Source organism: Homo sapiens, chromosome 12, assembly GCF_000001405.40.
Source record: "Homo sapiens chromosome 12, GRCh38.p14 Primary Assembly".
NCBI classification, from domain to species: Eukaryota; Metazoa; Chordata; class Mammalia; order Primates; family Hominidae; genus Homo; species Homo sapiens.
The window spans coordinates 5,170,402-5,197,799 of NC_000012.12; the positions used below are offsets into that span (position 1 = coordinate 5,170,402).

The 27,398-nt window shown below is 43.0% G+C and overlaps 2 long non-coding RNA genes across 3 annotated transcripts in view, besides 2 other annotated features; one reads left to right on the forward strand and one right to left on the reverse strand.

Annotated features, from left to right (window-relative positions):
* Positions 1–27,398, forward strand: part of LOC105369617 (uncharacterized) — a 257,798-nt gene that overhangs the window by 48,455 nt on the left and 181,945 nt on the right. For both annotated transcript variants that reach the window (NR_188065.1, NR_188066.1), the window contains exon 4: positions 1,408–1,488. This is a non-coding gene — a long non-coding RNA (uncharacterized LOC105369617). The remainder of the gene's footprint in view (positions 1–1,407; positions 1,489–27,398) is intronic.
* Positions 1,424–2,160: an enhancer, noted in NCBI's record as "H3K27ac-H3K4me1 hESC enhancer chr12:5280991-5281727 (GRCh37/hg19 assembly coordinates)". NCBI's record gives its function as "activates a minimal SCP1, AML or CMV promoter by ChIP-STARR-seq in naive H9 embryonic stem cells {active_cell/tissue: H9 hESC(naive)}" and the evidence as "EXISTENCE:reporter gene assay evidence [ECO:0000049][PMID:30033119]".
* Positions 2,629–3,828: an enhancer, noted in NCBI's record as "BRD4-independent group 4 enhancer chr12:5282196-5283395 (GRCh37/hg19 assembly coordinates)". NCBI's record gives its function as "activates an origin of replication core promoter dependent on BRD2, P300/CBP, MED14 and CDK7 cofactors, and independent of BRD4, by STARR-seq in HCT116 cells {active_cell/tissue: HCT116}" and the evidence as "EXISTENCE:reporter gene assay evidence [ECO:0000049][PMID:35650434]".
* LOC124902864 (uncharacterized) lies at positions 13,487–25,395 on the reverse strand. Its single transcript, XR_007063179.1, has 2 exons — positions 25,249–25,395; positions 13,487–18,416 (listed from the first exon to the last, which is right to left on the reverse strand). It is a non-coding gene; the product is annotated as an uncharacterized LOC124902864 (long non-coding RNA).

The window sequence follows — 27,398 nt, forward strand, 5'->3', positions numbered from 1 at the left end:
CGGGAGGCGGAGCTTGCAGTGAGCCGAGATCGCGCCACTGCACTCCAGCCTGGGTGACAGAGCGAAACTCTGTCTCAAAAAAAATAAAATAAAATAAAAAATAAAAAATAAAGAGCTGAGGGCTGCAGGGAAATAAAGTGGGCATGTTGGTTGGGGAAAGGAATTGACTGCAGGGATACAGCCTGTGAGTTCGTGAAGCGCCCTTCGAGCAGAGTGAACTGTTCACAGGCTCCAGCAGAATGAATCTATGGCTGAAAAATGCCAATTTTGGACCAAAGGCGTAGGGTACAGCTCCCTTTTTGGGAAGTCTGTGAAATTTAAACAGTCCAGTGCCAGGGAATCTAGCTGGAGGGAGGGGAGGAGGAAAATAAAAGCCTCTCAAGTCTCTTTTCAAGCCTGGGATTGTGGAATTCTAAGATGTGCATTTGAGAACACATCAAAGATAAGGGGGAGATGGATTTAACTGCCCAGTTCATATGGAATGAAGTTGCTATGTGTTCTTCTATTGATGTCAGGTGCCCAGACGTGACAGCAATAAATCGAGAGGGATATTTATGTAAACAAAAGAAATATAAATAGATGGGAGAGAGTAAACTAAATATAAACTCTCAGTTCAAATCACTGTGAGAACAGCCAATGCTATTTTCAGAGGGGGTGTGTAAGTGCATGCAGGGTGCTATTTATGGCCAGAAGGTTGTATGTAAACTCTGACAGTCCAGCGGCTGCTTTCAATGGCGTGCCATTCAACTCAAGCTGAAGTGGCCTATTGCTTTCTCATCCCCACAGGGAAGAAAACAAGACAGAAAGAAAGAACAAGGAATGTTTTTCCTCTCGCCATGCACGTCTAGCTGTGCACAGTCTCACACTTTTATCGCTTTCCTTCTTGACCATCACTCCTTAAGTCCTGTACATTCTCTAAAGCTGAGTTAAGGTGCATGAGGACACCTTCAGGACCCTGATGCACCCCCATCTAGTCTGTGTTCCCGGACACCCCTGTAACACCCAGGCACATTCACGCATGTTACATATATTTTCTCTTGGACTACCTTTCTGTCCCTCTGACTATACTGTGAGCTCCCCAAGGGCAAGGCTATGGCTTGCATTCCTGAGCTAAGCAATAATAGGTGCTCAGATTTGGTTTGTTCACCCCATTAATCCCTGACCCAAGGGAAGTGTGAACTTGAACGTGTAGCAGGAAAGGGATTTATCAGACAGAGGGAGATTTTCTTTTTAAAGATGAGGGTGCTAGGAGACTGAGCCATGCTTCAGCTCTTGCTCAGAGGCAGGGGATGGCAGCAATAACCTCTTAAATCCGGCCCCTCCCTCTCAGAGATTTTTCCTGTCTTTGAAGGAAGGTCTCAATGGTGAGTCAATGATGAATCTAATCCACGTTTCCTCTTCTTGCAGGCAATTGCATCTAGCATATAATGTGTTGGTTATCCCCAGAACACAGAGCAGTGCATCTCCACAGCGAGAATTCCAGAACAGGTAGGAAATTCCTTGTCTTTGGGGTTTTACTTTTGCATGTTTCCCAGAAGGGGGCAGCATCTCCCTGAGATTTCTTCCCTTTGGCGGTACAATCCTTTCCAGCAGCCTTTAAGGAAGGGCAGATTCAGAAATCCGGAGAATTGCCTCAGTCTCTGCCATTCAGATTCACTAGAGGAGTGGGAATGGGCAAAGGGTGGCCTGTAGACTGGAGAACAAGTGTCTTCAGAATGACGTGTGCCCACGGTGGTCCAAGAACACGGTCCCACCCAGAACATGGTCCCGCCAGAGGCATCAGAGGGCTCAGGTCCTCAGTGTTTGTGAACCTACCAGGGTTTTTGTGCCCCGATGCCCGAGAGGTTCAAGATTTGAAAGTCAAGGGTTGTACAGAGGGGCTGTCTGGATGGGAAATTTTGCTGTGCTCTTCTCTCATCTATTTGGGCACCTGGAGGGCACACAGCTGCATCTGCGGCAGAGCCTTAGAGGGCAGATGGCTTACTCAGTGACTTAGCTAGTTACAGCTGGGACTAGCACTGAGGTCAGCCTGCTAGGATCTGTCAGGTGCTCTCCCAACCACCTGGGACTGCCAAGGTCAAGAGACATGCAATAATACCCGTTTTCCATGATTTTTACTCTCTGCAGTTTCAGTTACATGAAGTCAGTTGAATTTCAAAGATAGGTGAGCACAGTACAGCAAGGTAGAGACCACAATCACAAAACTTGTATTGCAGTATATTGTTACAATTGTTCCATTTGATTATCAGTTATTGCTGTAAATCCCTCACTTAATTAATAAAGTGTCACATTGAGGGTTGGAACTGGCGTTCTCACTCAGCAAAGCTCTGACCAAAGTTTAGCATTAGGCCAGCCTTGCTGCACACCGCACCAGGGACAGCACATTTGCGGTGTGCACTGGGCAAGTGCACAAGGGTGTACATTTGCTTCCCTTCCCGCTCCTGGCACCTGCGGGCTGGTCTCCTCCGCGTGTGCTGGGAAGTCATCAGAACAGCTTTCAAGCATCCTAAGGCCAGCCCGCACTCCCAGATTATATTTTGATACCCATTTACCTTCTACTGCTCTTCCGATCAGCATTTACTCTGCATTTCCTGGTCTTTGTGGTTTGTCAGCTCCTTCACGTTGCTTTCGCTTAGCTGGCGTGTGTGAGGATGAATGAAGAGAGTTAAAAGCCTCCCAACCTCTGGCGCGCTGGAACAGTTCCCTGAATGTGGGGCTGCTGTGAACTGCTGTCATCGCAACATCTATCAAAAACATCTCTTGCCCCCAGGACACGACAGAGTTTTGAAAGTGTTTCTGCCCTACGTTGCTTATGCAGATACTTGGGAGAGAGCTTCCTCCATTTCTGTCTGGTTTTTGGACAAATTCTTCAGATTGTAAGATGTTCAGCATTCTGGGTTGTTTGACTGTGGAAACGCACGGGAGCTCTTGCGGTGTAGACTCTAGCCCCAGTTCTATTGCCAATCTGTCAGGGCCCTAGCAGGCATCACTGCTGTTCTTTAAGACTTACTCTTGCCAACCTCCTGTTGCACCTCTGGAAACAGGACGAGAATGATTTTTTCTGCCAGTGAGTTGAGAAAAGTTGTCACACTGAAAGTACCAACTGAATAAGGTCAGAGAATCAAGGAAGCAAGTGCCTGTGGAGGTTGATGAATCAACAGAAAAATATTACCATATTGGATGTCCACCCGCCTATGTTTAAATCTTCATCTGAGAAAGGGGTGAAGTGTTGGAAAGCATTTAAAATCTGCAAAGATGGGAAATGAGATAACGACCTGGGTCCTCTGGGACAGGACATGCCAGTGCTGGTTCTTGAGAGGACAGCTGCTCCAACAGCCGGGCTCTCCAGAATATGCCGCCGTGGGCTTCGGCCTGGCAGCAGGGCCCCTGGAGGAGCCTGGCACCCAACAGGCGCTCTGTAAATATTTGGGAAGTGAGTGGACGAGTGACTGTCCCTGGTTTGGGCTGGTGCCATTTAGAGGGCAACCAGAGTGCAGGGAAGGGAGGAGCTTGGGCAAGAGGGACATTGCTGTCGCTGGTTGATGGTGAGATGGCACTTAATGAGAACCTGGTCATTGGGAAAGCCCCAAGCCTGCGTCTTGCTGTGATGCCTTCCCCATTATGAAGGGTCCATTGGCATGGGAGTGGGGAGACCTGGACTCAGAGAAGCTACAAGGGCAAGGGTGGAAAGGCATAGCTTCTGCAAGTTGATGCTGAAAAAGATCCAAGACTCATATTCAGCAGACAGCCCATAACCAAGAGCCAAGGAAAACTTTGCCTCTGCTTCTTCTACTGGACTCTCTTGGGCTATCCTTTCATGTCTTTATTTTTCTCAAAATAGCTCTATGTTCCTTTCTTTAAAAATTAAAATATAGCAAAATTGACTTTCGGGGGTTTTATAGCTCCATGAGCTTTAACATATATGTAGGATCATGTAACCACTACTATTATCAGAATACAGTACAGTTCCATGACCCCAAAGAACTCCTTCATGCTACTACTCCCTTTGTAGTCATACTCTCTCCATATTTCTAACCCCGGCAACCAATGATCTTTTCTCTATTACTATAGTTTTATCTTTTTGAGGATGTCATATGAATGAATTTATACAGCATGTAATTTTCTGAAACTAGCTTCTTTCACTCAGCATTATGCCTTTGAGATTCACCCAAGCTATTGTAACAATAGTTTATTATTATTTATTTTATTTTTCTTTATATTATTATTTTTTATTTCAATAGTTTTTAGGGTGGATGAGTTCTTTACTGGTGAATTCTGAGATTTTAGTGCACCCATCACCCAAACAGTGTACACTGTACCTAATATGTAGTCTTTTATCTCTCACCCTCCTCTCAACTTCTCCGCCAAGTTCCCACAGTCCTTTATATCACTGTATATGTTTTTGCTTCCCTATAGCTTAGTTCCCACTTATAAGTAAGAATGTACAGTATTTGGGTTTCCATTCCTGGGTTACTTTACTTAGAATAATGACCTGCAGCTCCATCCAAGTTGCTGCAAAAGACATTACTTTCTTCCTCTTTATGGCTAAGTAGTGTTCCATGGTGGATATATACTACATTTTCTTTATCCACTCACTGATCGATGTGGACTTAGGTTGCTTCCGTATCTTTGCAATTGTGAATTGGGCTGCCATAAACATGTGTGTGCAGGTGCCTTTTTCATAAAATGACTTCTTTTCCTTTGGGTAGTGTATTAGTCAGGGCTCTCTGAAGGAACAGAATTAATAGGATATATGTATATAGGAAGGGGAGTTTATTAGAAAAATTGACTCACACGATCACAAGGTGAAGTCCCAACATAGACCATCTACAAGCTGAGGAGCAAGGAAGTCAGTGCAAGTCCCAAAACCTCAGAAGTAGGGAAGCTGACAGTGCAGCCTTCAGTCTTTGGGCAAAGGCCGAAGAGCCCCTGGCAAATCACTGGTGTAAGTCCAAGAATCCAAAAGCTGAAAAACCTGGAGTCTGATGTTTGAAGGCAGGAAGCATCCAGCACGGGAGAAAGATGGAGCCTGGAAGACCCAGCAAGTCTGCTATTCCGCCTTCTCCTGCCTCCTTATCCTAGCTGCACTGGCTGCTGATTAGGTGATGCCCACCCAGATTGAGGGTGTTTAGTTGCTTGTGTTAGTTTGCTGAGGATGATGGTTTCCAGCTTCATCCATGTCCCTGCAAAGGACATGAACTCATCCTTTTTAATGGCTGCATAGTATTCCATGGTGTATATGTGCCACATTTTCTCTATCCAGTCTATCATTGATGGGCATTTGGGTTGGTTCCAAGACTTTGCTATTGTGAATAGTGCTGCAATAAACATACATGTGCGTGTGTCTTTATAGTAGAATGATTTATAATCCTTTGAGCATATACCCAGTAATGGGATTGCTGGGTCAAATGGTATTTCTGGTTCTAGATCCTTGAGGAATCATCATGGCCATATATTATTCCTCTGCATCAGGGTCTTAAGTTAGGAATGATATCGTATCACAATTTCATATATGTCCTGACTTTTAAGACCATGTACAGGGTAGAAGCACATGCTGGTTGCCTATAATATTGGGACTTCAACTTCCAGTTGACTTGATGATAAACTAAGGGGAAAATGATAGCTCCATGACTACATGAGACAGACCCATTCACATGTGACTGCTCATTCTGTAGAGCGTCTTCCGTTGACAAGATGTTCTGGAAGTAAAAAGACCAGGGACCTTGAGAAGCTGCAAGAAATGTGAGGGTGACCTAGGGAACTAGAAGGGGAAGTTTGCAGCTAGTTGGACTCTGGAAATTCCAGTTCCTCCCACTTACTCATGCTGGGACCCCAAGTTGCTAAGTGACAGAGGAGGAGTAGGAGGAGTGGGAGGCAGAAAGTATGGTGAAAATGTACTTGGGAAAGGAGGATTGGTGATGTGCCACTGGTATTCAACACAGAGTAGAAGCCAAACTAGGTCACCTAAGGATTTAGGTATGAGGGTCCCTGAGCTTCCATGGGAGTAGCAGATTTCTTGAATGTTGGGACTAGAAGCATCTCTAGAGGTCAAGTGGTCCAATCCCCTCATTTGAAAATAAACAAGTGAGACTGCAGGAGGGAAAGTGACCTTACCCTAGAGTCATCCAGCTAGTTACTGGCTGAGTTGGCACACAAACTCAGAACTTTCAGTCCCAGGTACTTTTCTAACTCTACCTCTTATTGATGGAAGTCGAGATCTAAACGTAGAGATAGGGTTATAGAATCACAGAAGCATTAAAATCTCTCAACACTAATGGAGAAAGAAAAAAGTTGGGAAAGATAGCCATCCCTAATCTAAAGTTGGAAAGTTCAAATTGCATACATTTTTAATTGACAATATAATTTGTACAACCAATGTTAGCTGAGTACTTATCATGTGCCAGACAATTTTCTACATGCTTTTCATGAGTCAGCTGGTTGAACCCTTTCAACCACTCTATGAAATAGGTGCTAGTATTATTTGTAGTTTATGGATATGAAAACTAAGGCACATGGAAATTAAGTAAGCTGCCTAAGGTTGCACAGCCACTAAATGGCAAAAGTGGAATTCAGACATAGGCAATGTAATTTCAGAGCAACCCACTGAACTACAAGCTAAAATGTTCAGTGCAGGCAGAATACCAATTAGGTGCTCCCATCTTTATTCTTCATGTGGAGAACACTACAATTGCCAGAACAAAATCTATTGCTACCACCATCAACTGGGTACCTGGACATCAGAAGACTTGAGCGTCCTGGTGTCTTGGAGGTAGGCCTAGGAATCAAAAGCGTGTATGCTGTCTTTAAAAGGGAACATTCTGGTTGTTCTAAAAACCACTCATGCTGAAAAGAAAGCTGACTACTCACCCCAATCACCAGCGTTTTCTTCTCCCACTTACTCTACTGCCCTGGGCAATGTGCCAGGGTCTATAAAGCATATTCATTCCCAATTCTTTTATAATTCTGTTCTTCCATTGTTAGCCTTCTGAGTATTACCTAGTGCCCACAAAGCATATAAAATTAATTTCTGCTGCCTTACTTGACATTTATATTTGAGAGGCAACTCTGTGATGGGGCAGGGAGGTTGTCTGGAAAAACGCTAAGTTAATATCAAGTTGAGAGATGGGTGCCAACTTTTTTCGATTACACAGGGGCATGCGCCAATTCAATTATCTGATCATAACTGCCTGCAGTCAGTTGGGACAGCAACTCACTGCCCTGTCAAGGAATTACAGATAATCTGTCAGAAGGGCTTTCATCAAAGATGGGCTTGGAGAGCCTTCCTCCTGGTCTGTATGCCCACGTCCCTGTTAAGTTCAGATAAAACAACAGGTAGGTTCTCTATACTCCCTTCAACAAGGCCCAAGGAAAATAGAAACTTCCAAAAAAGAAGCCACCAATAGCATCTGTAACTTCAATTTTCACCAAGTATCATGATATGCTTCCTGTAGCCACCAGCTTGATTTTGTTTGATAGAGATCAACATTATCAGTTTGTCCCTTCTGAGCTCATGCTGACTCATAGGGGCGGGCACGGGATGGTATGAAGGTGAAAGAGGTAATGGGGTTACACACTGGAATAGTCACCACAGGCAATTGATATACCTGTGATACTTCCCATTTCCATTCTTTCCACATTGCAAAGTATTTTTACATCAGTTGTTTATACATCTATTCACCAAACCCTTATTGAATGCTTGCCATGTACCAGGTGGAGTACATATTCCCAAGCACACTCTTGGAATATCATAGTAATAAAAATAAAGAAGTTTGCCCTCATGAACTTACATATAGTAAAGGTTATCTCAAGGGCTTTTCATCATCATCTGTCAGGGAGGTTAGACCAAGATCCACTAGTCCCATTTTATGATTAAGGTAACAAAACTAAGGCTCAGAGGAGTTAAATGTTCTGTCGGAGGGTGCCCAGCTAGAGAGTGACAGAGCCCTGGAGAACCCAGACACCTGCATCCTTGTCCATTACTCTTTCTACTGTACCAACTGAAACTACACAGTGAAGACTGGATGGAACCTTCTGAAATCATTTCAGTCATCACCCCTATCCTCCACTCGAAGCCTCCTAGGAGAATCACATGGCAAGAGAAGAGGAATCCACATGTTTCTGAAGCGTCCTTCCATTCCAGTGAATGATGTCTCTTACTGTTTTGAAGTTCTGTTATGCCTTTAATTTAAATTCCTTGTGTTACAAGCTCAACACTCCCATCTTCTTTCATTCTCTCAGTGAAAGTGAAATGAGGCATCTTTTATGAACCTAAAGACGATTCCCCAAACTCCTCATCCTTAAACCATGGACGTACGTTTAAATCCAGTCCTGACTTGTTCTTTCCCCGTTGACAGGGAAAATGTAGGAGGGGTTAGTCATTTTCCCCCTATTTTCATTCTTCTTACATAGTTAAAATGACTGCCTTATTTATCAGACCAAAATTTAATGGCTAAAACAAGATTTAAGAAGTAACTCTGGAAGCAGTTGGTAAGTTCATGGGGGAGGCTCCATGATTTGTAGTCAGAATGAGGTTTTGGCAAGCTTCAGTTCACTAAAACCATCTTTCAGAAACAAAAATGGAATAAGAAATGTTGAGAGCAGTTTTATCATGATGGAAAGAGTGAGATTTGAAGTAAACACCAGAGTCAGTCTCATCACTGCCATTTAATAGTTATCTCAGGCTGGTCACGTAAAACTTTCTGAGTATTCATCAACTTCATTGATTAAAAAGGCAATAATAATACCTTGACAGGTTTTTGTTAAAGAAAATGATAGGAAATTTGTAGAAGGGATTTCTCCATCCTAGACTGTCCTGTAAATGTTACTTCTTAGTTGCAGAAGAAACTAAGGTATTATGCAAACACTGTTCTGTCACAATGTCCTTTTTTTCTTTTTTCTTTCTTCTTTTTTTTTTTTTTTTTTTGGACACAGAGTTTCACTCTTTCCCTTAGGCTGCAGTGATTGCTGTGATCTCGGCTCACTACAACCTCCACCTCCTGGGTTCAAGCGATTCTTGTGTCTTAGCCTACCCAGTGGCTGGGATTACAGGCATGTGCCACCTGGCTAATTTTTGTATTTTTTTTTAGTAGAGACAGGGTTTTGTCATGTTGGCCAGGCTGGTCTCAAACTCCTGGCCTTGAGTGATCTGCCCACTTCAGCCTCCCAAAGTGCTGGGATTACAGGTGTGAGCCACCGCTCCCAGCTCACAATGTCCTTTTATAAGCTATTCTATTCTAGTCTGTTTGCAGACTTTGTTTTTGTCTTGCATCTCCAGAGTGCTGAAATTGTCTGCCCACGGTTCCTCCTTTTCTCATCCCTAATGTGAGAATCCTACCTAGCCCATTTCTCATGCAGAAAGCTATCAAAGCTCCAGCAGGTATCTCTATGACAGCAGAGATTGTTTTGTTTGCCCTATATCCCTAGTACTGGAAACAGTGTTTTTCCTATAGCAGGTGCTCAAAAATATGCATAGAAAGGATGAATAAATCTGTACTTAGCTTCAAGACCTATGGGAGAAAGAGATCAGTAAGAATTTTGTGTAAAGAAAATGCAATAGTTGAGCCTTTGAATAGCATAGAGGTACTGAGATTAATGCTATAAGAAACAAGGAAGGCCTTCTCTGACCAGGGCGGGGAATGTGGCTTTGGCTCTGAGGCAGAGAACCTGTGATGTCTGCTTAGTCCCAGTGTTCACCTGACTCCACTCCTTGTCCCAGAGTCCTGAAAACTGAACATCCATGATCATATGGCATCCTGGCAGGCAATAACTGTAAGGGCTTAGATGCCTGCTTGGCCAATCCTTTGCTGTACAGATGAGAAAGCTAAGGTGAAGAGAGGGCCACTAAGAAGCAGAGCAGAAACCGGGATCCAGACACCCAGATTCCCTTCTCCTTCCAGAGGAAACAGTCCATTACTTGAAAACCGAATGCTTATTTTTCGCTTGGTGTTTTTGCCTTACTTCACCCGTTTCAGTTGTGGGGGAAAATATATTTCTTTTAAAACTTAGTGATGGTCTTGATTATAGGGGAATGTTTGATCGCTTAGAGATTTGTACCAAGAAATCATTGGGTTTCCTAACCATGTCCTGGTATAAAATATTACGGAGACAATCTCCTCATCCAGCCCATGTGTGTTTTTCCTTCCCTCTTGAAATTGTCAAACTGACATAATTAACTTAGCTGTTAGCTAAATAAATCATTGGATCCTAGTGAGAATTTTTACAGAGATATCATTGCCCCCGCACCACACTGCAAGAAGGACTGTCAACACTACACGATAGATGTATGGCAAAGGATTCTGTTTGGGAGACAGCTCTCTCTTTCTCCCTTAGCATCAAATATGGCTGGCAGGCTAAAGAACAGATGTCAAGGAGTGCATGTGAGAAAACCACTAATTCCTTAGAGTGTTTTGATCACACATGGTTCATGGAGCCTGAAACAGCACCGGAACTTCAGGTTGAAAGTCCAGAGATGGACTTCGATTAGGGTGGACCTCAAACAGAAGGTGTCAGTCTGTAGCCCTTTCAGCAGAGAACTCTGCTCTGAGACAGGGGGATGGACTTATTAACCTGCAAGTGTTCCTGGTTTCCTTTGTCATTCTGAAATACAGGAACACACTATTTCTGTTTCACTCCTTGTTTAAGAATATTCAGGCCAGGCACGGCGGCTCACGCCTATAATCCCAGCACCTTGGGAGGTTGCGGTGGGAAGATCACGAGGTCAGGAGTTCAAGACCAGCCAGGCCAAGATGGTGAAATCCCGTCTCTACTAAAAATACAAAAAAAAAAAAAAAATAACCAGGCATGGTGGCTCGCGCCTGTCATCCCAGCTACTTGGGAGGCCAAGGCAGGAGAATTGCTTGAACCCGGGAGGTGGAGATTGCAGTGAGCCAAGATCGCGCCACTGCACTCTAGCCTGGGTGACAGAGCAAGAATCAGTCTCAGGGAAAAAAAAAGATATTCATTTGTGAGCTCTTTAAGAACAAGGACATGTTCACTCTCTTGGTCTGTGTAGCGCGTGGTGGGGCCACCTGGTAAAAATATGGCAGTGTTCTTTTGCTTTCCATTCCAACTTCTTTAGATTCCTGCAGAATAAAAAGAAAGATTGATCAAAGGCTAGAGATGTTTTAAAGGAGGGTCTTGTTAACAAGTGAAGTCTTATTTGAATTTCAACAGGTAACAAAACAGAGGCTGCAAAGTCAAGCCTGGGGTGGTCAGGAATTCAGAATGTCGCTGCACCAGCCCCTCAGGAGATGGAATGCTGCTCCCACACTCAGTTTAATTAGAAGCATGGCTAATGGCCAGAAACTTGGAAGACAGATTATAGATCCATTAATCAGGGTCATGTTTACACCTCTATTGTCAACTGTAATGATCTGTTTAACCCAAGGTCTCCTTAGTTTATTATGATTGCTATTGTTTTGATCTTTACAGTTATGAAGGAGAAAACCATATGCAAGCCTGTATATTCCAGCAGGGGCCCAGTCTGCCAGTTTTTTTTGTTTTTTTTTGTTGTTGTTGTTGTTTTTGAGATGGTGTCTTGCTTTGTTGCCCAGGCTGGTGTGCAGTGGTGCCATCTCAGCTCACTGCAACCTCCACCTCCTGGATTCAAGTGATTCTCCTGCCTCAGCCTCCCGAGTAGTTGGCATTACAGGTGTGCGCCACCATGCTCGGCTAATTTTGTATTTTTAGTAGAGCTGGGGTTTCGCCATGTTGGCCAGGCTGGACTAGAACTCCTGACCTCAGGTGATCTGCCCACCTTGGCCTTCCAAAGTGCTGGGATTATAGGTGTGAGCCGCCACACCAGGCCTGCTAGTATGTTTTAACATAAGTATTATTATGTTAAATATTTGTTTTAATCATCAGTCATCTTTTACTTCAGAACTATGAACTGGGTCCAATCAGTAGATTCACTATCAGCTGTCTCTGTCTACTGTCAGGTGACCCACATTGAAAATATCAGTGGTGACCATAACTCGTAGCCATAACACAATTTCTAATATTCCAAGGGATTTTGGGACCAGTGGCTCCTATGACACAATTCCATGAAATCTAATTTGGTCGTCTGAAAGAAGATTGCTTTGGTCGTCTGAAAGAAGATTGCTTTAAGGTTCTCTAGAGATGCAAGGAAGGGATCTGAGAGGTGCCATGGGCAGCAAGTCTCCCTCTGCTTTGCTTTCTGTGGTTACTTTGAGGAGGCTTTGCTGCCAATTCAAGGATTAGAGAGAGAGAGAGAGAGGCTAACTTGTTTCCTTGCCTTGTAATGGGGATGTCCTCTCATAGGGGACCATTACTAGGGGAGAGTGAGAGTAAACCTGTGTGGGTCTGTTAGACCATGGTAGAGACTGAGGGAGGGCACTGAGGAGCCCCATGGACCATTCCTATGGCCCGAGCAGCTCCAGCAGCAGGCTTGCAGGAAGCAGTTTGATTTAGGCATGGAGACAAATTACCCACACATCTGGGTATTTACATTTCCCCGGACACTTTTACCCTACTTCATGGATGCAGTCTTCTTTGGTGAAGGCTAAGAAGACTTATAGCATATATTGTATCGTATTATCATAAGGTCCTTCTTTCAGGGCAATCAACTTCTTCATTCAAGAGGCTCTGTGCTGGTCAACTGTTTCATGTCTGGAACTTGAGTAAGGGATCATGACTTTCATTGTGGAGTCCAAGCCCAGCCTCTGTCTGCAGAGCTGCTGTTTGTAAGTTACTGAAGTCCAGTTGTACTTAGATGGGCTACCTAGCTCTTTTGGCACTGGTTACATCATGAGGAGTTAGCCATCACTTAAAATCCCTGTAGTTGGCCAGGCGTGGTGGCTCACGCCTGTAATCCCAGCACTTTGGGAGGCTGAGGCGGGTGGATCACGAGGTCAGGAGATCAAGACCATCTTGTCTAACACAGCAAAACCCCGTCTCTACTAAAAATACAAAAAATTAGCCGGGCGTGGTGATGGGTGCCTGTAGTTCCAGCTACTCGGGAGGCTGAGGCAGGAGAATGGTGTGAACCTGGGAGGCGGAGCTTGCAGTGAGCCAAGATAGCACCACTGCACTCCAGCCTGGGTGACAGAGCGAGACTCTGTCTCAAAAACAAACAAACGAACGAACAAAAAAACAAAACAAAACAAAAAAACTACACTTGAGACCATTCTAATAATTCTAATAAATATGCAGCCCATGCTGTCTATTATGATAACCACATCTTCTTTGGTGATCAACATTATCCGTGTGATGAGTAAGAGCTACTATTTGACCTTTTCCATGCTGGGATCTTCCCAAATCCATTGAAATTGGGAAGCACACTTCCATAGCAGTGTGTCTCATCAGTACTCCTCCTAAAAAAACAACCTCTAAAGCTTTGATTAAAAATTCTGGCCTTTTTCTCACTAATGGACTGATTAATGTCTTGGTGAATGGAATGATTTTAGATTACAGAATTAAGAAATTCATAGGCATCACGCAGTAATAAATCTACTCCACCATTTTCATCTCTCAAATTATTCAGATTCTTTATTTCTGCAGTAGACCAAAGAATTGTTGGCATATAAACTTTATTTTACTTGAGGCACCATTTAGTCCAGATCTCAATATATCAACCCAAAACATAATTGAAATCAAGTTCAGGTGTTAAGTCCTGCATATTGAATTCAGAATAAATGGTAAGTGAGCCTATATTCATACATTTATTCTAATCTTAAAAATATATTCTTTTCTTCTTAATCTGAGACACTCAGAAGCTATTCTTTTGCCTGGTATTCAGACGTACCTACTGCAAATTAGGAAGGGTGTGTAAGACTTCTGGCTTTGATTTGTTATTCACTCTTTGGAGTATGCTAGGATCTGTTTATAGCTATAGGTCAGGAGATACTTGTGGGTAATTGGGATGAGACATGAAGAGAATTGACTCATCAAAGGAGTTATAGGGCTTTCAGGCAAAGCTTAACAGACTTATCAAGTAAGGAAGAAGGAGAGTCTGCCTCTGCTGACGGTAACAGGAATGGCTCCAAATGTTGTTAGCGCTCCTATACAGCCTCATCCAATTCTCAGCTTCCCAGCCACTCCTAACCATGCCCTCACTCTCACATACGACACCTCACGAGGTTGTGAATTCAACTGTTGTAAATTGGCAGCCCATAGGATCAAACTGTGAAATTGTTTTTATCGGAGCCCTGTGCCTGCAAGACATGAGAGATTCTCTTAACAAGGTCACAGAAAGTGCTTGAGCTTCCTTATGTGCCTTGAGCAAAGAATGTAGGAATTGGATCTGACCATCATCTTTCCTTATGCTACCCAGAAGCAGCCACGCCCCTGTATCTTCCTTGATTTCCTCCCGTCATTTATGCTTTCACAAAACAGTGTCCACTCAGTTTCCCAAAACCTTGCTGCAATGAGCACCGCATTCTAAGTAACCACAGGCAGTATTTCAATTCATTGTTTCTGGGCTACAAGCCATGAATTGGTAAATTATCACTATTTAATATTTTTATTGCTTTTTGTCCCAACCGGGCCTAATTCCCCAGTTTACCTATGCTCTGGGTAGCACTGACTGGTACTAATTTCTGTATTACTTAGAGTTTTGTTTACAAATACCAAAAACTAAGTGTACTTAAATATTATAACATTTTTAGAAAGACTTATTGCAGAACACCAGAACATCACACAAAGCCCCTTGCTCAGTGGCTTGGGGTTTAATACTCTGTAGCCACCAGCTTGAAATTCTTCATTTTATCTATTAATTTGTGTTGCAAGAGAAGTCCCATGTGTCAAGGGATCAGGTGCCACGGACTTGGAGCTGTGGCTCACAGGTATTGAATGAATGAGCAATGTGTGAATGCTGAGTGTTCAATCTTTTGGGTAGCCCCTGCATTCATCCAATCTGGAGAAATATTATTTTGTGGTCTAAGGAGGCTAAAGTAGATCCACCTGTGCCTGGAGGCACACACGCTTCTCAACAGAAAGCAATCGTGTTCTGCCACCTCCATCATTCCTTCCCTTTGCAGGGTCGTGCCTGAAGTTTTGGAAAAAAAAAAAAAAAAAACCCAAAGGAGTTTCTCCTGAGGGCCCCAGAGGAAGCATCTCCCTAGACACAGAATACCTATAGGGGTCTGGTGGAGGCTGCTGCCCTCAGTGCCTCCCAGGCCCCCCAAACATAAGTTTGTCCGCAGACGTTCCCCTTCAAGTGCCCTGGAAGTGTATGACAATAAGCCCAGCCAATTGGCTTTATTTTCATTTTCTGTTTGCCCTTCCCTATGTCCTCAAATCCCCTTTATCGCCAGGCAAACATGTACGTAGGCATCTAATGAACTAGTACAAACCCTGCTTTGTTTTGTTTTGTTTTGTTCTTTTTATTTTCAGGTTTCCCCATTCCTGCAAGTTTTTTTAACTTTTTCTGTGCGGGAAGTCCAAGTTCCTAGTTGAACTGCAAGTTCTTGTTCTCCTGACAAGTCCAGCCCTATCCAGTAAGATCCCTGAGCTGGGGAAGCAAGGGAGGGGCATGTGGGGATGCAGTTAACTCTTTCGGGCCCTCCATGGGGAGGCCGTCCCCTCCCTGCCTGGCAGTTATGCAGTTATCATTTCATAGTCACCAATCTGAGCTCAAGGGACAGATCTTGCCTTCCTTATTAAGGACGGTGATTTCCTACCAAGCTCAATCTCATTTTGTGGTGATGCTTAGGGATAAGACTAAGATGTCTCAATTCTTAAGGTTTTCCCAGATTCATACACATACAAGATCCAGCCCTTTATACTATTCCTAGAAACAAGAATGTTTTTGTTAACATAAAGCATAAATAGCAATTCGTCTTTGGTTACTAATAATTGCATAAAATATTTACATCAACTTGCAATAAATCACAATATGTAAAGAAATACAAGCATCCAGTTACATCCAAGTATCTTTCTGCCTCGTGGCTTCCTAACCAGGGATCAAAAACAAAGTAGCCTTCACGGGACACCGAACCTGAGTCAGGAACCAGCTTCCCTGGAGCTCTGGAACAAGCTTCACTCTCTCCCCAGGCCTTGAGAGGTGCCTTGGAGTAGAAGGTTATGGAGAGAGAGGCTGCTTTCCAGCCTTCTTCCCTCTCCTCTATGTGTCAAACATCCTTGCTCGGATTACACTAGTTAACACTACTAGTTTTATTTCTCTTGCTGCTTCCAGGAAGCTAACGTATCTGCACTTTCTTCTTTTTGCAGAACGGGGCCAAGTCATTAATAAAAGAAAATCATTCTAGGATTTGCTATTTTAAATGTCCAAAAATAAGAAGAAGGGAGAAAAAAGAGAGGATAATAGGAAAGAGGGAGAGAAAGAAAGAAAACGGGGAAAAAGGAAGAAATAAAATCTCCACAATAGACTGACTTCCAGAGTCAAAATCCTAGAACAATGTCCTGCCAATCAGAAATCCATTTCCCTGGTGGCTGAGCTCTTACGACTGTTCTCTCAGCTTATGTCTATTATTGCCTATATGTAGTGTACGCTATTCAGAATTCTGAAAATTTCTTATTAGCCAATTCTGGCTTTTTGCCAAGTAGTATTTTTTAAGGAAATCCACCCCGCTTTGTCCCTGAACACTTAAAAAAATTGAACAAAATAATTTTTAAATAAGAAAATTATAAAACCAGATTGTTGTAAGCCCAGTTTTTTAGATACTAGAAAAAAATAAAATGTGACAATGACTTAGTGTTTTTCACTTTCACTAGGTTTGATTTCTTTAAACGTTGGGCTTAGGGATAGAAGAAATATCTTACTCATTTTTATTTCCCTACTAGCAGCAAAGTATAGGCTCATAATACATGCATAAAAGTGAACATTTTCAAAATCTGTCTACTGCCTTTCATTTCCCATTGTCTCCTCTTCCATTCCCTCTCCTTATTTGGTAATTCGAGCCAGCCTGAACACCAGCCAATGCCGCAAAGAAATGGAGGGACAAGTAAGTGGCTGCTAGGTTGTTTTATTGGCTGGGCATCAAAAGCCTCATTTCCCACCATGTCTCTGAGGGGATGATGAAATTTGTTCCTGATTATTAGATCAGTATGAATCAGTTTGTTACACTGGAACTAATGGAATAGAATCTAAGACAGGTGAGTTTGGGAAGGAAGGCTAGAGGATGATATCTGGGCTCTTTGCATTTGTCTACTTGAGCTTTCATAACACAATATTAGAGACTGGGTGGCTTAAACAATAGTTCTGGAGACCGGAAGTCCACGATTAGGGAGTCAGCAGGATCAGAACCCAGTATGGGCACTCTTCTTTACAGATGGCTGCCTTCTCATTGTGCTTTCCCATGGTGCGTACCTGGGGAGAGAGACAACCATCTCTGGTGTCTCTTCTTATAAAGACATTAATCCTATGGGGTCAGGACCCCACCCTTACGACCTCATTTAACCTTAATTACTTTCTTAGATGCCCCATTTCCAAGTATAGCTACACATGGGGTTGAGGCTTCAGCATATAGATTTTGGGGGGATGCAAATGTTCAGCCCAAATCACCCCTGGACTCTAGGCATTTTGATGACCAGCATAAAGCATTTCTCACAAAGGGAGAAACAGCAGGAGTGTAGACATTTTTAAACTTTCAATTTTGTCTAGGAAGTTTAACTTCTTCAGTCACTGATGCCCTTGGAAATCAAGCAAAAAATGAGAAAACAAGGAACAGTTGATATGTAAGATTTTAGGCCTAATGCCTGATTTTCTCGCCTGTGTGTCCTACCTCCTGTACATGCCCTGTGAATGAAGAGAATTTCCAGAACTGGAGCATTGACTCCAAATGGTATTGCTGCAAGCACTGAGGCCTAGAGGGCTTCCTTGCTGAGAGACCTGGGCAGGGGAAGAACATGAAGCTAGCTTCACCATGGGACACTCGGCCGCAGCTTAGCTCTCCATCCGGTACAGGGAAGGTCCTGGTCACACCTTCTTCTCCTCCAGCTCTGCCATCATGACCGTGCCCCTTACCACATCCCATCTGCTCTTTCTTCAATGCTGGTCTTCAAAATAAGAGGCGCTTTAGACTCTCAAGGCTTAGCTGTGGAATCTGGAATCAAACTGTGGATGATGTTGAAAATGTCTAGCAAGTTAAAAAACTTTGTCTGTGCAAAACCAAAACCAACTTAGCAAGTGGAGCCAGTCCCGAATCTTGTGCCTCAAGCAAGCTTCCTTCTTACAAAATGCACATCGTGGTCAGGAGTGAAAGACAAAGCGATCTTGCTGTGACACCACAGAGCTCACCAACACTGCCTGAAGAACTGTCTCCTGAGGCCTGGTGGGTGGCTGGATGGTTTAGAGTTCCCAGGCTGGGAACTCAGACAAAGGAGCTGGCATAAATAGAAACTCTCATTACCTTGTCATTAATCTTCTTTGCCCAGCATCAGACAAACATTCCATCGTCTGTGGAAAGCCAAGGCTCCATAAGGGAGGAGGCAGAGAACTGGAGAAATGGGACAGATAGACAGAAGAGAGAGGGGCCTGAAATGAACAGCAAAATGTTTCTGCCTTTTCTACCTTTTATGGTTTTACTCATTTCTTCATGTAACATGTATTAATTGAGCACCTATGAGCATTGAACCAGATGCTGGGGAACAGTGGTGAGACCATAGGGATACATTCCTTGCCCTCAGGAAGCTCTCAGTCTAGTGGAAACACAGATACTTAAAAAATAAATAAATAAAAAATAAAGAAGTTTTACAAGCTGGGTAAAGTGGAGTGAAAAATCCCACATGAGAGTATTTGCAAGACCTGATTTAGCTTGAGAGGGTCAAGGAAGGCCTCCTTGAGGAAGTGGTCTTCTAACTTGTGACCGGGAGGTAGGTGCATCTTTGCAGAGTGGGGATGGCACATTCCAGGCAGAGGCAGGGAAGATGGAAGGCCCTGAGGTGAGGAAGTGCTTGAGGTATTTGAGAAAGCGAAGAAAGACCAGTGTGGCTGGAGCACAATGCTACTGAGGTTGGAGGGGCAGTCTGGCGTTGGATTATGCAATACCTTGTGGGACGAGGCATTAATGTTAGGATTTTACCCTGAGCAAAATAGGGAGCAGTTGAAGGATGTGAGGTGCTGAGAAATCACTTCCAGTTTGCATTACAAGGAAGGACAAATGGAAGTGGAGCTGTTGGCACAATACAGGTGAGAGATGATGGTGACTTGTGAGGGAGCATGAGTATGGGAAGAAGTAAAGGCACTGAAGCCATTCTCTGGATGTAGAATCAATAGAAATTGGATATGACAAGGGAGCAAGAAAGAGACATCAAGAGCTTTTCCCAAAATAAATGGATAGTTGATGATATCATTTATTAAGATGAGAATAGAGCAGTTTGAGGAGGAAAATCAACAATTCACTGTTGAACATGTGAAAGTTGGCTATGAGATGCATATGCAGTATCTAAGTGGAAATGTCAAGAAGACAGTTGGAAAAAATAGCTCTGGAAGTCAGAGTGGGGAGCTGGGCAGGAGGTGTGAAAGGCATTATCAGCATACAGATGATCCTTAAAGCCATGGGTTGGATCAGATGGCTCCCAAAGAGTGTGGACTTAGAAGAGAAGAAGATATAAGTCTAAATTGTAATAACTTCAATATTTAAATTAAAATGGCAAATACATGGTACAGTTACTTTCACTATCTCTCCTTCATCTAGACAAATATTTCTAATGCATTATAGCTCTCTTTCTTACTGGGCCAACATGCAGGATTTGAATCATTCTCAGCACAACACTACAGGAACCTCTGCCAATAGAATCAGCGTTGGCAAAAAGAGATAAAACCTGATTGACTTTCTGGCTTTTGTTCAAGGGTTATAGAAATTTTTTAAGAGTGAAGATTTCTTTTTAACATCAAAATATTTAAACAAGCCCACATAATGGTAGTTTTACTTTTATTTATTCAGCCAATAGACTATATTTATTTCTCATAAAATGCCATAGTTGCCTAGTAGTCCAAGGACCCCCAGCTGGGAATCGTTCTAGTGCTGCAGTTCTCAAAGTGTGGTCCCTGGAGCGGCAGCATTAGAATCACCCGGGAACTAGTTAGCCATGCGAATTCTCAGGCCCCATCCCAGACCCACTGAATAAGAAACTGTGTTATAACAAGCCCTCCACATATTTTTGTTTGTTTGTTTTTTTGAGACAGAGTCCCGTTCTGTTGCCCAGGCTGGAGTGCAGCGGCGTGATCTCAGCTCACTGCAACCTGCCAGGTTCTAGTGATTATTCTGCCTCAGTCTCCCCAGTAGCTGGGATTACAGACATGCACTACCATGCTCAGATAACTTTGTATTTTTCGTAGAGATGGGGTTTCACTACTGACCTCAAGTGATCTACTGCCTCAGCCTCCCAAAGTGCTGGGACTACAGGCATAAGCCACTGCACCTGGCTTCTCCAGATAATACTGATGCAAGATAAAGCTTGAGAACTGCCACTCTAAAGGTTTCTAGAATTAACTGATTCATGTTGCTGCAGAGACAGTAGGCTGATTTCTTCAGTCTGATCATTTTAAATTCCATCAGGAACCATGTCTGGGTTTTCCCAACTTCACTGTTTTCTTAATGTCCATTAAATTTTCTGGGAAAATCAAATATACTTAATAAACACGTGATGAAAAAATTATTGACCGAATGAATAACTTTGGAGCTTGCTGGAGGATCAAAGTAGGGCATGAACAAGAGAGAACCTATAGCCAAGAAGCTTCATCTTTTCTACGAAGCATTTCTTGGTGACAAGGTCAAAAACAATTTTTCTATCCAACGATAACACTATGCAAATTATACTGTAACTTCATTTGATCATTAGACGTCCCTTGGTACCAGAATCATAGGGATGAAAAGGACACTGAGATGGCCACCTCATCATCCTGTGGGTAAACCGAGCCCTGGAAGTGAGGTGGTTAGCCCACTGGCACGCAGTCAGAAACAGCATGGAGTCCCCTAACTTGCCATGGCCTGTAGAACACAGTGATTGTGGAGCCAGGCAGAACCCAAGTCCCCTGCTTATCAGTTTAGTGATCCTGAGCAAGTCTTCCTGGGTTTAAAGTTCTTTATCTGCAGAATGTGAATAAGAATACTTTGCTGACAGACTGCCGTAGAATTAATATGAGATACTGTGTGCCTTACAAAATTAATATTAGTTTTTTGTCCCCACTGTGTGGGCTGAAAAAAAATGCCCCTTTCCACCCCCAAAAGATATCTGCATCCAATTTCCTGGAAGCTGTGAATGTTACCTATTTGGAAAAAGGGTTTTTGCAGATGTGATTTGAGTTAAGGATCTATATTTTCCCCCCAAAAGTTACAGATCTTGAAAGAAAGAGGGTAGCCTGGATTACCTGGGTAGGCCCTCAGTGCAATCACATGTACACTTGCAGGATAGATACTCAGAGAAGACAAACACGTGGAAGAGGAGGCGATGTGAAGACTGGAGCAGAGATTGGATGATGCCGTCACAAGCCAGGAAGGCCGGGGAAGCCACCAAAGCCAGAAGAGGCAAGGAAAGATTCTCCCTAGAGCACCTGCAGGGAGCTCAACCCTGCCAGATTTTAGACGTCTCACCTCCCAAACAGAGAACAAGTTTCTGTTGTTTTGAGTCACCAAGTTTGTGGCAATTTTATAGCAGCCTCAAGAAACAAAGGCACCTAATAAAAACAGAGTGATAGGAAACCTTCCCAGAAATAGGGAAGTGGCTTTGAAGCTCCTTAATCCTCACTACTGTCTTTCATTTCTTTTATATTTTACCCCCAGAATGTCATGGCTGCTGTAAACTCAGAGATTAACTTCCAAACACAGTTAGTGGACTGCAAGGGGCCTCATGCCTTTAAAGAGAGAAGGTTAGAAGAGAAAAATGAACATCAGAGGAAGCTTGAATACGAGGACTGCCCCAGATGCCAAGCATACTCCTACCTAGCCCTGGGAGAATTTGTTCCCAGGGCCAAACACCAGCAACAGGATAAACAGGGTTAGTTGGATATACGTGGTCCCTCCACAGAGGAAGAGGCTGAGGGAAACACCCACCATAAACTGTGTGTAGCTATCAGAAGAATGGCTGGAATCTCTTGAAGTCTAGCATGAATGGATTAAAGAGGGAATCACAGATGGCATTATTTGGAACTTTGGACGGCTCCTATAGTAGGGGGTTGGTAAAAGGCTAGGATGGAAGGAAAGGTGGACATGGGAGAAGGAATTCTACTTCCCAGCTCAAAGGAAATAAGTCTGGGGGTCCTTGGGGGCAGTACGAAGACCAAACTGCCAACTCAAGGTGGAAGATAAGCAGGTTGATCTTTTGGGCTGATCATTTGCTCATTCATTCATCTGAAGCACGCTGTGTAGTCAGTGTAAGTTTTTAAGCACAATACACTGGATGTCTGTCTGTGAATTTCTTGAATCTTCAAGATCAACATTTTAAATACACTGTTGTATCTCCTACTTCTTTATTATATTCTTTTTGAAAACACATCCTTTTCTATATCACAACAGTGGAAAGGATTCCTCAGCTAATTCCAAGACTTTTCTCTCTCTTTCCTCAAAAACTATCCAGGAATCTTGCCAGGTCAACTGGATTGCGTCATATCTATACATATATACCCCTTGGTCTTTCCATGCTATAAATGGCAGTCTTTCATGTCCCTTGTTCAGGAAAGAAAGCAATCAGAATTTGTGGAGAAATATAGCACCCTAGGCCCTTGAGTGTCTTCCTAGAGAATGAGTCTCCCTATCATCTTACAATTGTTTCTTTCTCGAGTGCAATTGTTTAATGCTGAAATATTTTTGTCTGTATGTTTTGTGGTTCTCCTGCTGCTCCTGGTTTCTGTCTCTGCCTTAAATTTGCTGGGGGTGCCTGCCCTCCACACTTAGGCAACATGCACAGACTTTGATTAGCCTGACCTCTACTATTTTGTCTTTTGCTGTTTTTTTTTTTTCTAGTGCATAATGCTAGGCCAGCAAGAGATGTATCCGGTTTGCTTCTTGCATCATTAAGGCTACTGTCTCTTTCTTCCCAAAATATTCTGTTTTGGTAATTAAGTAGATATTTGGCCTCATACCCACTTTAAAGAAGGGAAATGAAAACCCAAGGAAGTAAAAATTATTTGTTTAAGATCATTTAATGAAAATCAGTGATAGAATATCAGGAATTTGAGCTCTAGCTGTTACACTCCTCATTGATATCTTCTGCTAGGAACACCAGGATACAAAGTCTTTGTTAAATATAATTCTGCCTAAAATATTTAGATCTGACACCAGTCAAAGAACTTGACTCACACCAGGGAATGGCAATGCCTATAATATGAAGTTGTTTAGGAGGTACCCAACACCAGTGAGTTGATTGCATTCTGTTCTTGTTGGGTTATATGAGTGGTGGGGTTACAGCTGGGGCGAGAGAAGCAGGAGGGACAGAGTGTAAGACATCCGAGAGTGGACAGAAGGAGCTTCTCTGACATGCTGCCCTGCTTAGCTAGTCTAGGATTACATGCTGTTTATAGCCTTAGCCTCCTACTTGAATGGGCATTTAGGGGCTATTTAGTTTATTCTCCAGCTCCAGGTGGAAATGTATGTAATACAGCCCAAATTTGTGGACATTTCTCTTTTATAAAGACACCCTGTGAAGGAGATGCCATATCACGCTTGCTGATCCTGAGCAGTTTCCAACAACTCTATTATAAAGTTCTTCTGAGCCAGGCACCTTGGTGCACACCTGTAGTCCCAGCTGCTTGGGAGGCTGAAGTGGGGGCATCCTTGAGCCTAAGAGTTTGGGGCTGCAGTGAGCTATGATCACGCCACTGCACTCCAACCTGGGTGGCACAGCAAGATACCATCTCTTAAAAAAAAAGGTGCTTCTGATGTCTTTCCTAAATATCTCTTGCTACAAGATATCCCCTTCTATTTTGCCTTCAGTGGAAATGAAAACAATCTACCGTCTGAAGACAGCAGGAAATACTTTTCACTCGACCCTCAGCTGCTTTATCTACCCTGTGATGGAAAGCCACAAGGCATTTTAATTTTCCTGTTATCTCTTAAACTTCTCAGCATGTTTTCTATGGAAGATTCAGCACTTTGAAGTTTTCCATATATTCTTTTTGGAAGCTCGCATTTCTATTCAGTGCTCCTAACACTCCTCTGGGTTTGTGACATGAGCTCTGCTTTGAAATCTGACTGCATTTCCTGGCCCCTGGCCTCTTCTCCAGCTCATCCTTGGTTTATAGAGTTTAGCAATGGTTGCTAGGCAGTCGGCCATCTCCCTTTTCAGCACCCACCAAGGCTGGACCCCTTAGTCCTTTGTCAGATGGTTGTGAATTAGGAAGTTATTCCTCAAGATTTAGCTGCTTTTTGTGGCTGCTGGGCCTGCTCAGGTACCACCATGCCTTTGTCTGTGTTGTCGTCACTGGATAAGCCCTCCTTTTCCTATGCCAACCTCAATCACACCCATCTGACATGTAGCTCAAGACCATGTAACTGTGGCCCTGAGTAATCTCTATGTCCTCTGAATTCCTCATTATACCCTATAGTCTATCATGGAATAATTCAGTATATTAGACTAATGTTGTACTCATGATAGTGGAGGCAAGGACAGGAAATAGGCTTCCCTTCTTGGGGCAATTCTGAATGATCAGCAGGGATTGCATGCAATGCTGTGATGAGAAGTTTTCTGAGGCAGCATCCTAGTTCAGTGAGAATGTGCGTCATGACTGATTTACTGTATCTGCTTCAAGGACAAGCAGGGGCAAGGGCATACATGTACCATGTATTTGCCATCTTTGTGTTTTGATCTTTCCAGCAAAATTACATGGATAGTACATAACACTTATCTTTTGGATCTTCGTATGTTAAGTACAAGCAGGTACTCAGTAAATATGTATTGACTGTCTACTTGGCATTTAAATGTTGGTGAGCACTGTCATTTAATGTCTTCAAGAGAATATGGCCCAGCAGAGTGACAGCACAGTGCTTTGCCAAACTATTCTGTCCCCATGGAGTAAAGGAGTTCCTTATATAAGAAAGGAAATAGGCTGGGTGTTAAATGCATCTCACTAGTCTCTACTATAAGCATATGTGAACCACTCACTGACGCCATCATTCTTCTCCCAGATTTATTACAGTTGAATTTGTTTGCTAAGTTATTATTCCTTTGCCTAAATTCAGAGCCAAGTTGTTTTAAGCCCAACTTATCCAAATAAAATGTCATAAGGCTGTGCTTCAAATGCTTAAATTGTCATCAATATAAACATACTATAATTAGACAGTTCTCTCTGAACCATCCTTCTCTAGCAATGCTTTGCTTCAATTCTCCTACCTTCTCACTTTCTGCTTTCTTGTTTCCTTCTCTACTTCTAAGAAACTTCCACTTGCTCTTTTTCTGTCACTTAGCAACTCACTCCTAGCTCCTTCCTCTTCAATATTATCATCAATCCTGGAAAAATAATTATCAACACACAATCCTGCTTCCAATCTCTCTTTAACATTTTCACAGACATAAGCAGCAATTGAGGGTGAAGCAGAACTGCCAACAGTTAGCAAGATGGCAGGAGATAAGAGTTAACTGTTGGCCAAATTCCCCAACTGAATGAACGAGTCAACATTATTGAGCTCATTCTGTGCACAATTCTGTATCGAGCATTTTCAGGGAAATGAAAGAAAATGAGAAGCTGACTTCTACCCTTAGGAAACTTAACAGCCTAACCAGAGCCATAGAAGAAGCAGCATAGTTACTTCAAGAATTGTTGATATCGGGGCCGGGCACGGGGGCTCACGGCTGTAATCCCAGCACTTTGGGAGGCCGAGGCTGGCGGATCACCAGGTCAGGAGATTGAGACCATCCTGGCTAACATGGTGAAACCCCATCTCTACTAAAAATACAAAAAAATTAGCCAGGCGTGGTGGCGGGCACCTGTAGTCCCAGCTACTTGGGAGGCTGAGGCAGGAGAATGGTGTGAACCTGGTAGGTGGAGCTTGCAGTGAGCCAAGATTGCAACACTGCCCTCCAGCCTGGGCGACAGAGCGAAACTCCATCTCAAAAAAAAAAAAAAAAAAAAAGAATTGTTGATATATTTTCTAATGACAAAGGTCATTGCAGCCTAAAGTTTAGGAATCAGGCTCTGCTCTGGAATCAGACTGCCTGGCTTTGAAACCAACTGTGTCTGTCCCTGGCAAATTACTTAACCCTTTAGAGCCTCAGTTAGGAAACAGACATGATATTAGTGCCTACCTTATAAAGATATTGTGAGAACTAAATGAGATAATGCAAGCAAAATACATAGTCTTACAATGCTATGTATACTCAATAAATATTATTATTAGTAAACGAATTTTCATGGTAATCCAAATGACTGATTAGGACTTGTAAATCTATAGAGTCAGCTATTATTAGTTTGGTGCAAAAGTAATTGTGGTTCTTGTCGTTCCTTTTAATGGCAATTACTGTTGCACCAACCTAATAGCAGCTAATGTTGATATTAGCCAACCAACTACAGGTGTGATCATCTGTCCCATGCTAGAAATTAGCAGGAATATGGCTGCCATCAACCACAGCTGAACATCTATCTTAGGTTTGACTCTGAATTTATTCAGAACCCATACTTCCATAGGATACCCCGGCACATTTAAAAGTAAAGCTCAAGATTAGGTACTCGGTCATCATCATTTCTGTAGTCCTCCTTTGTTCTCACTCTGGGGAGAACTCAGAGGTCCTTTAAATGAAGCACCTGGGTGCCCAAATGAGGGGATTTGTTCCTGGATCTGACTTGGAGGATTGGCTCAGCCAGGGGCACTCCTGGATGGAATGTGTGAGCTTGCATGATTGTAATTCCCTGGAATGACAGAATTTGTATCTCACTCTCTCTTTCTCTGAATATAAGAAATCTAGGTGGTATCTCCACATTTTTAAGCAAATGGAAGTTGTGAAGCTGCCAAGTAACCCTCAAAGCTCTCTCTCCTTGAAAGGATGTGGTGCACCAAAGGGAAAGAAGGAATTAGTCAGAAACCACAAAGCAATTAATGGCCGAATCAACCCTAATGAAATATTGCTGAGTAAGCAATCCACTCCATTGTAGGTCAGTTGGGATGTCCACAGAAGAATGCACACTGCAGTTTCCTTGGTTGGCCAGAATGAATCAAAACCCAGCACCCCCATTTGCTGTGTGTCTGAGTGTGTGTGTGTGTGTGTGTGTGTGTGTGTGTGTGTGTGTGAGAGAGAGAGAGAGAGAGAGAAGGAGAGAGAGAGAAAATGAGTTTTTCATTTGCATATGTGAAATTGATTTTTCTCTAGTGGGGAAAACACTGTGTAAAATCTTAGAATAACTAGCAAAGGAGACTGTATCATCGTACTAAGAAAGAAAAGTCTAGAAAAATATTTGCTATCTGTAATGACTGGTTTAAACATCTGCCTGAATGAAGACAAAGAGTCAGACAAAAATACTCCCTTTAGCTGGGAGACTCTGACTCCCT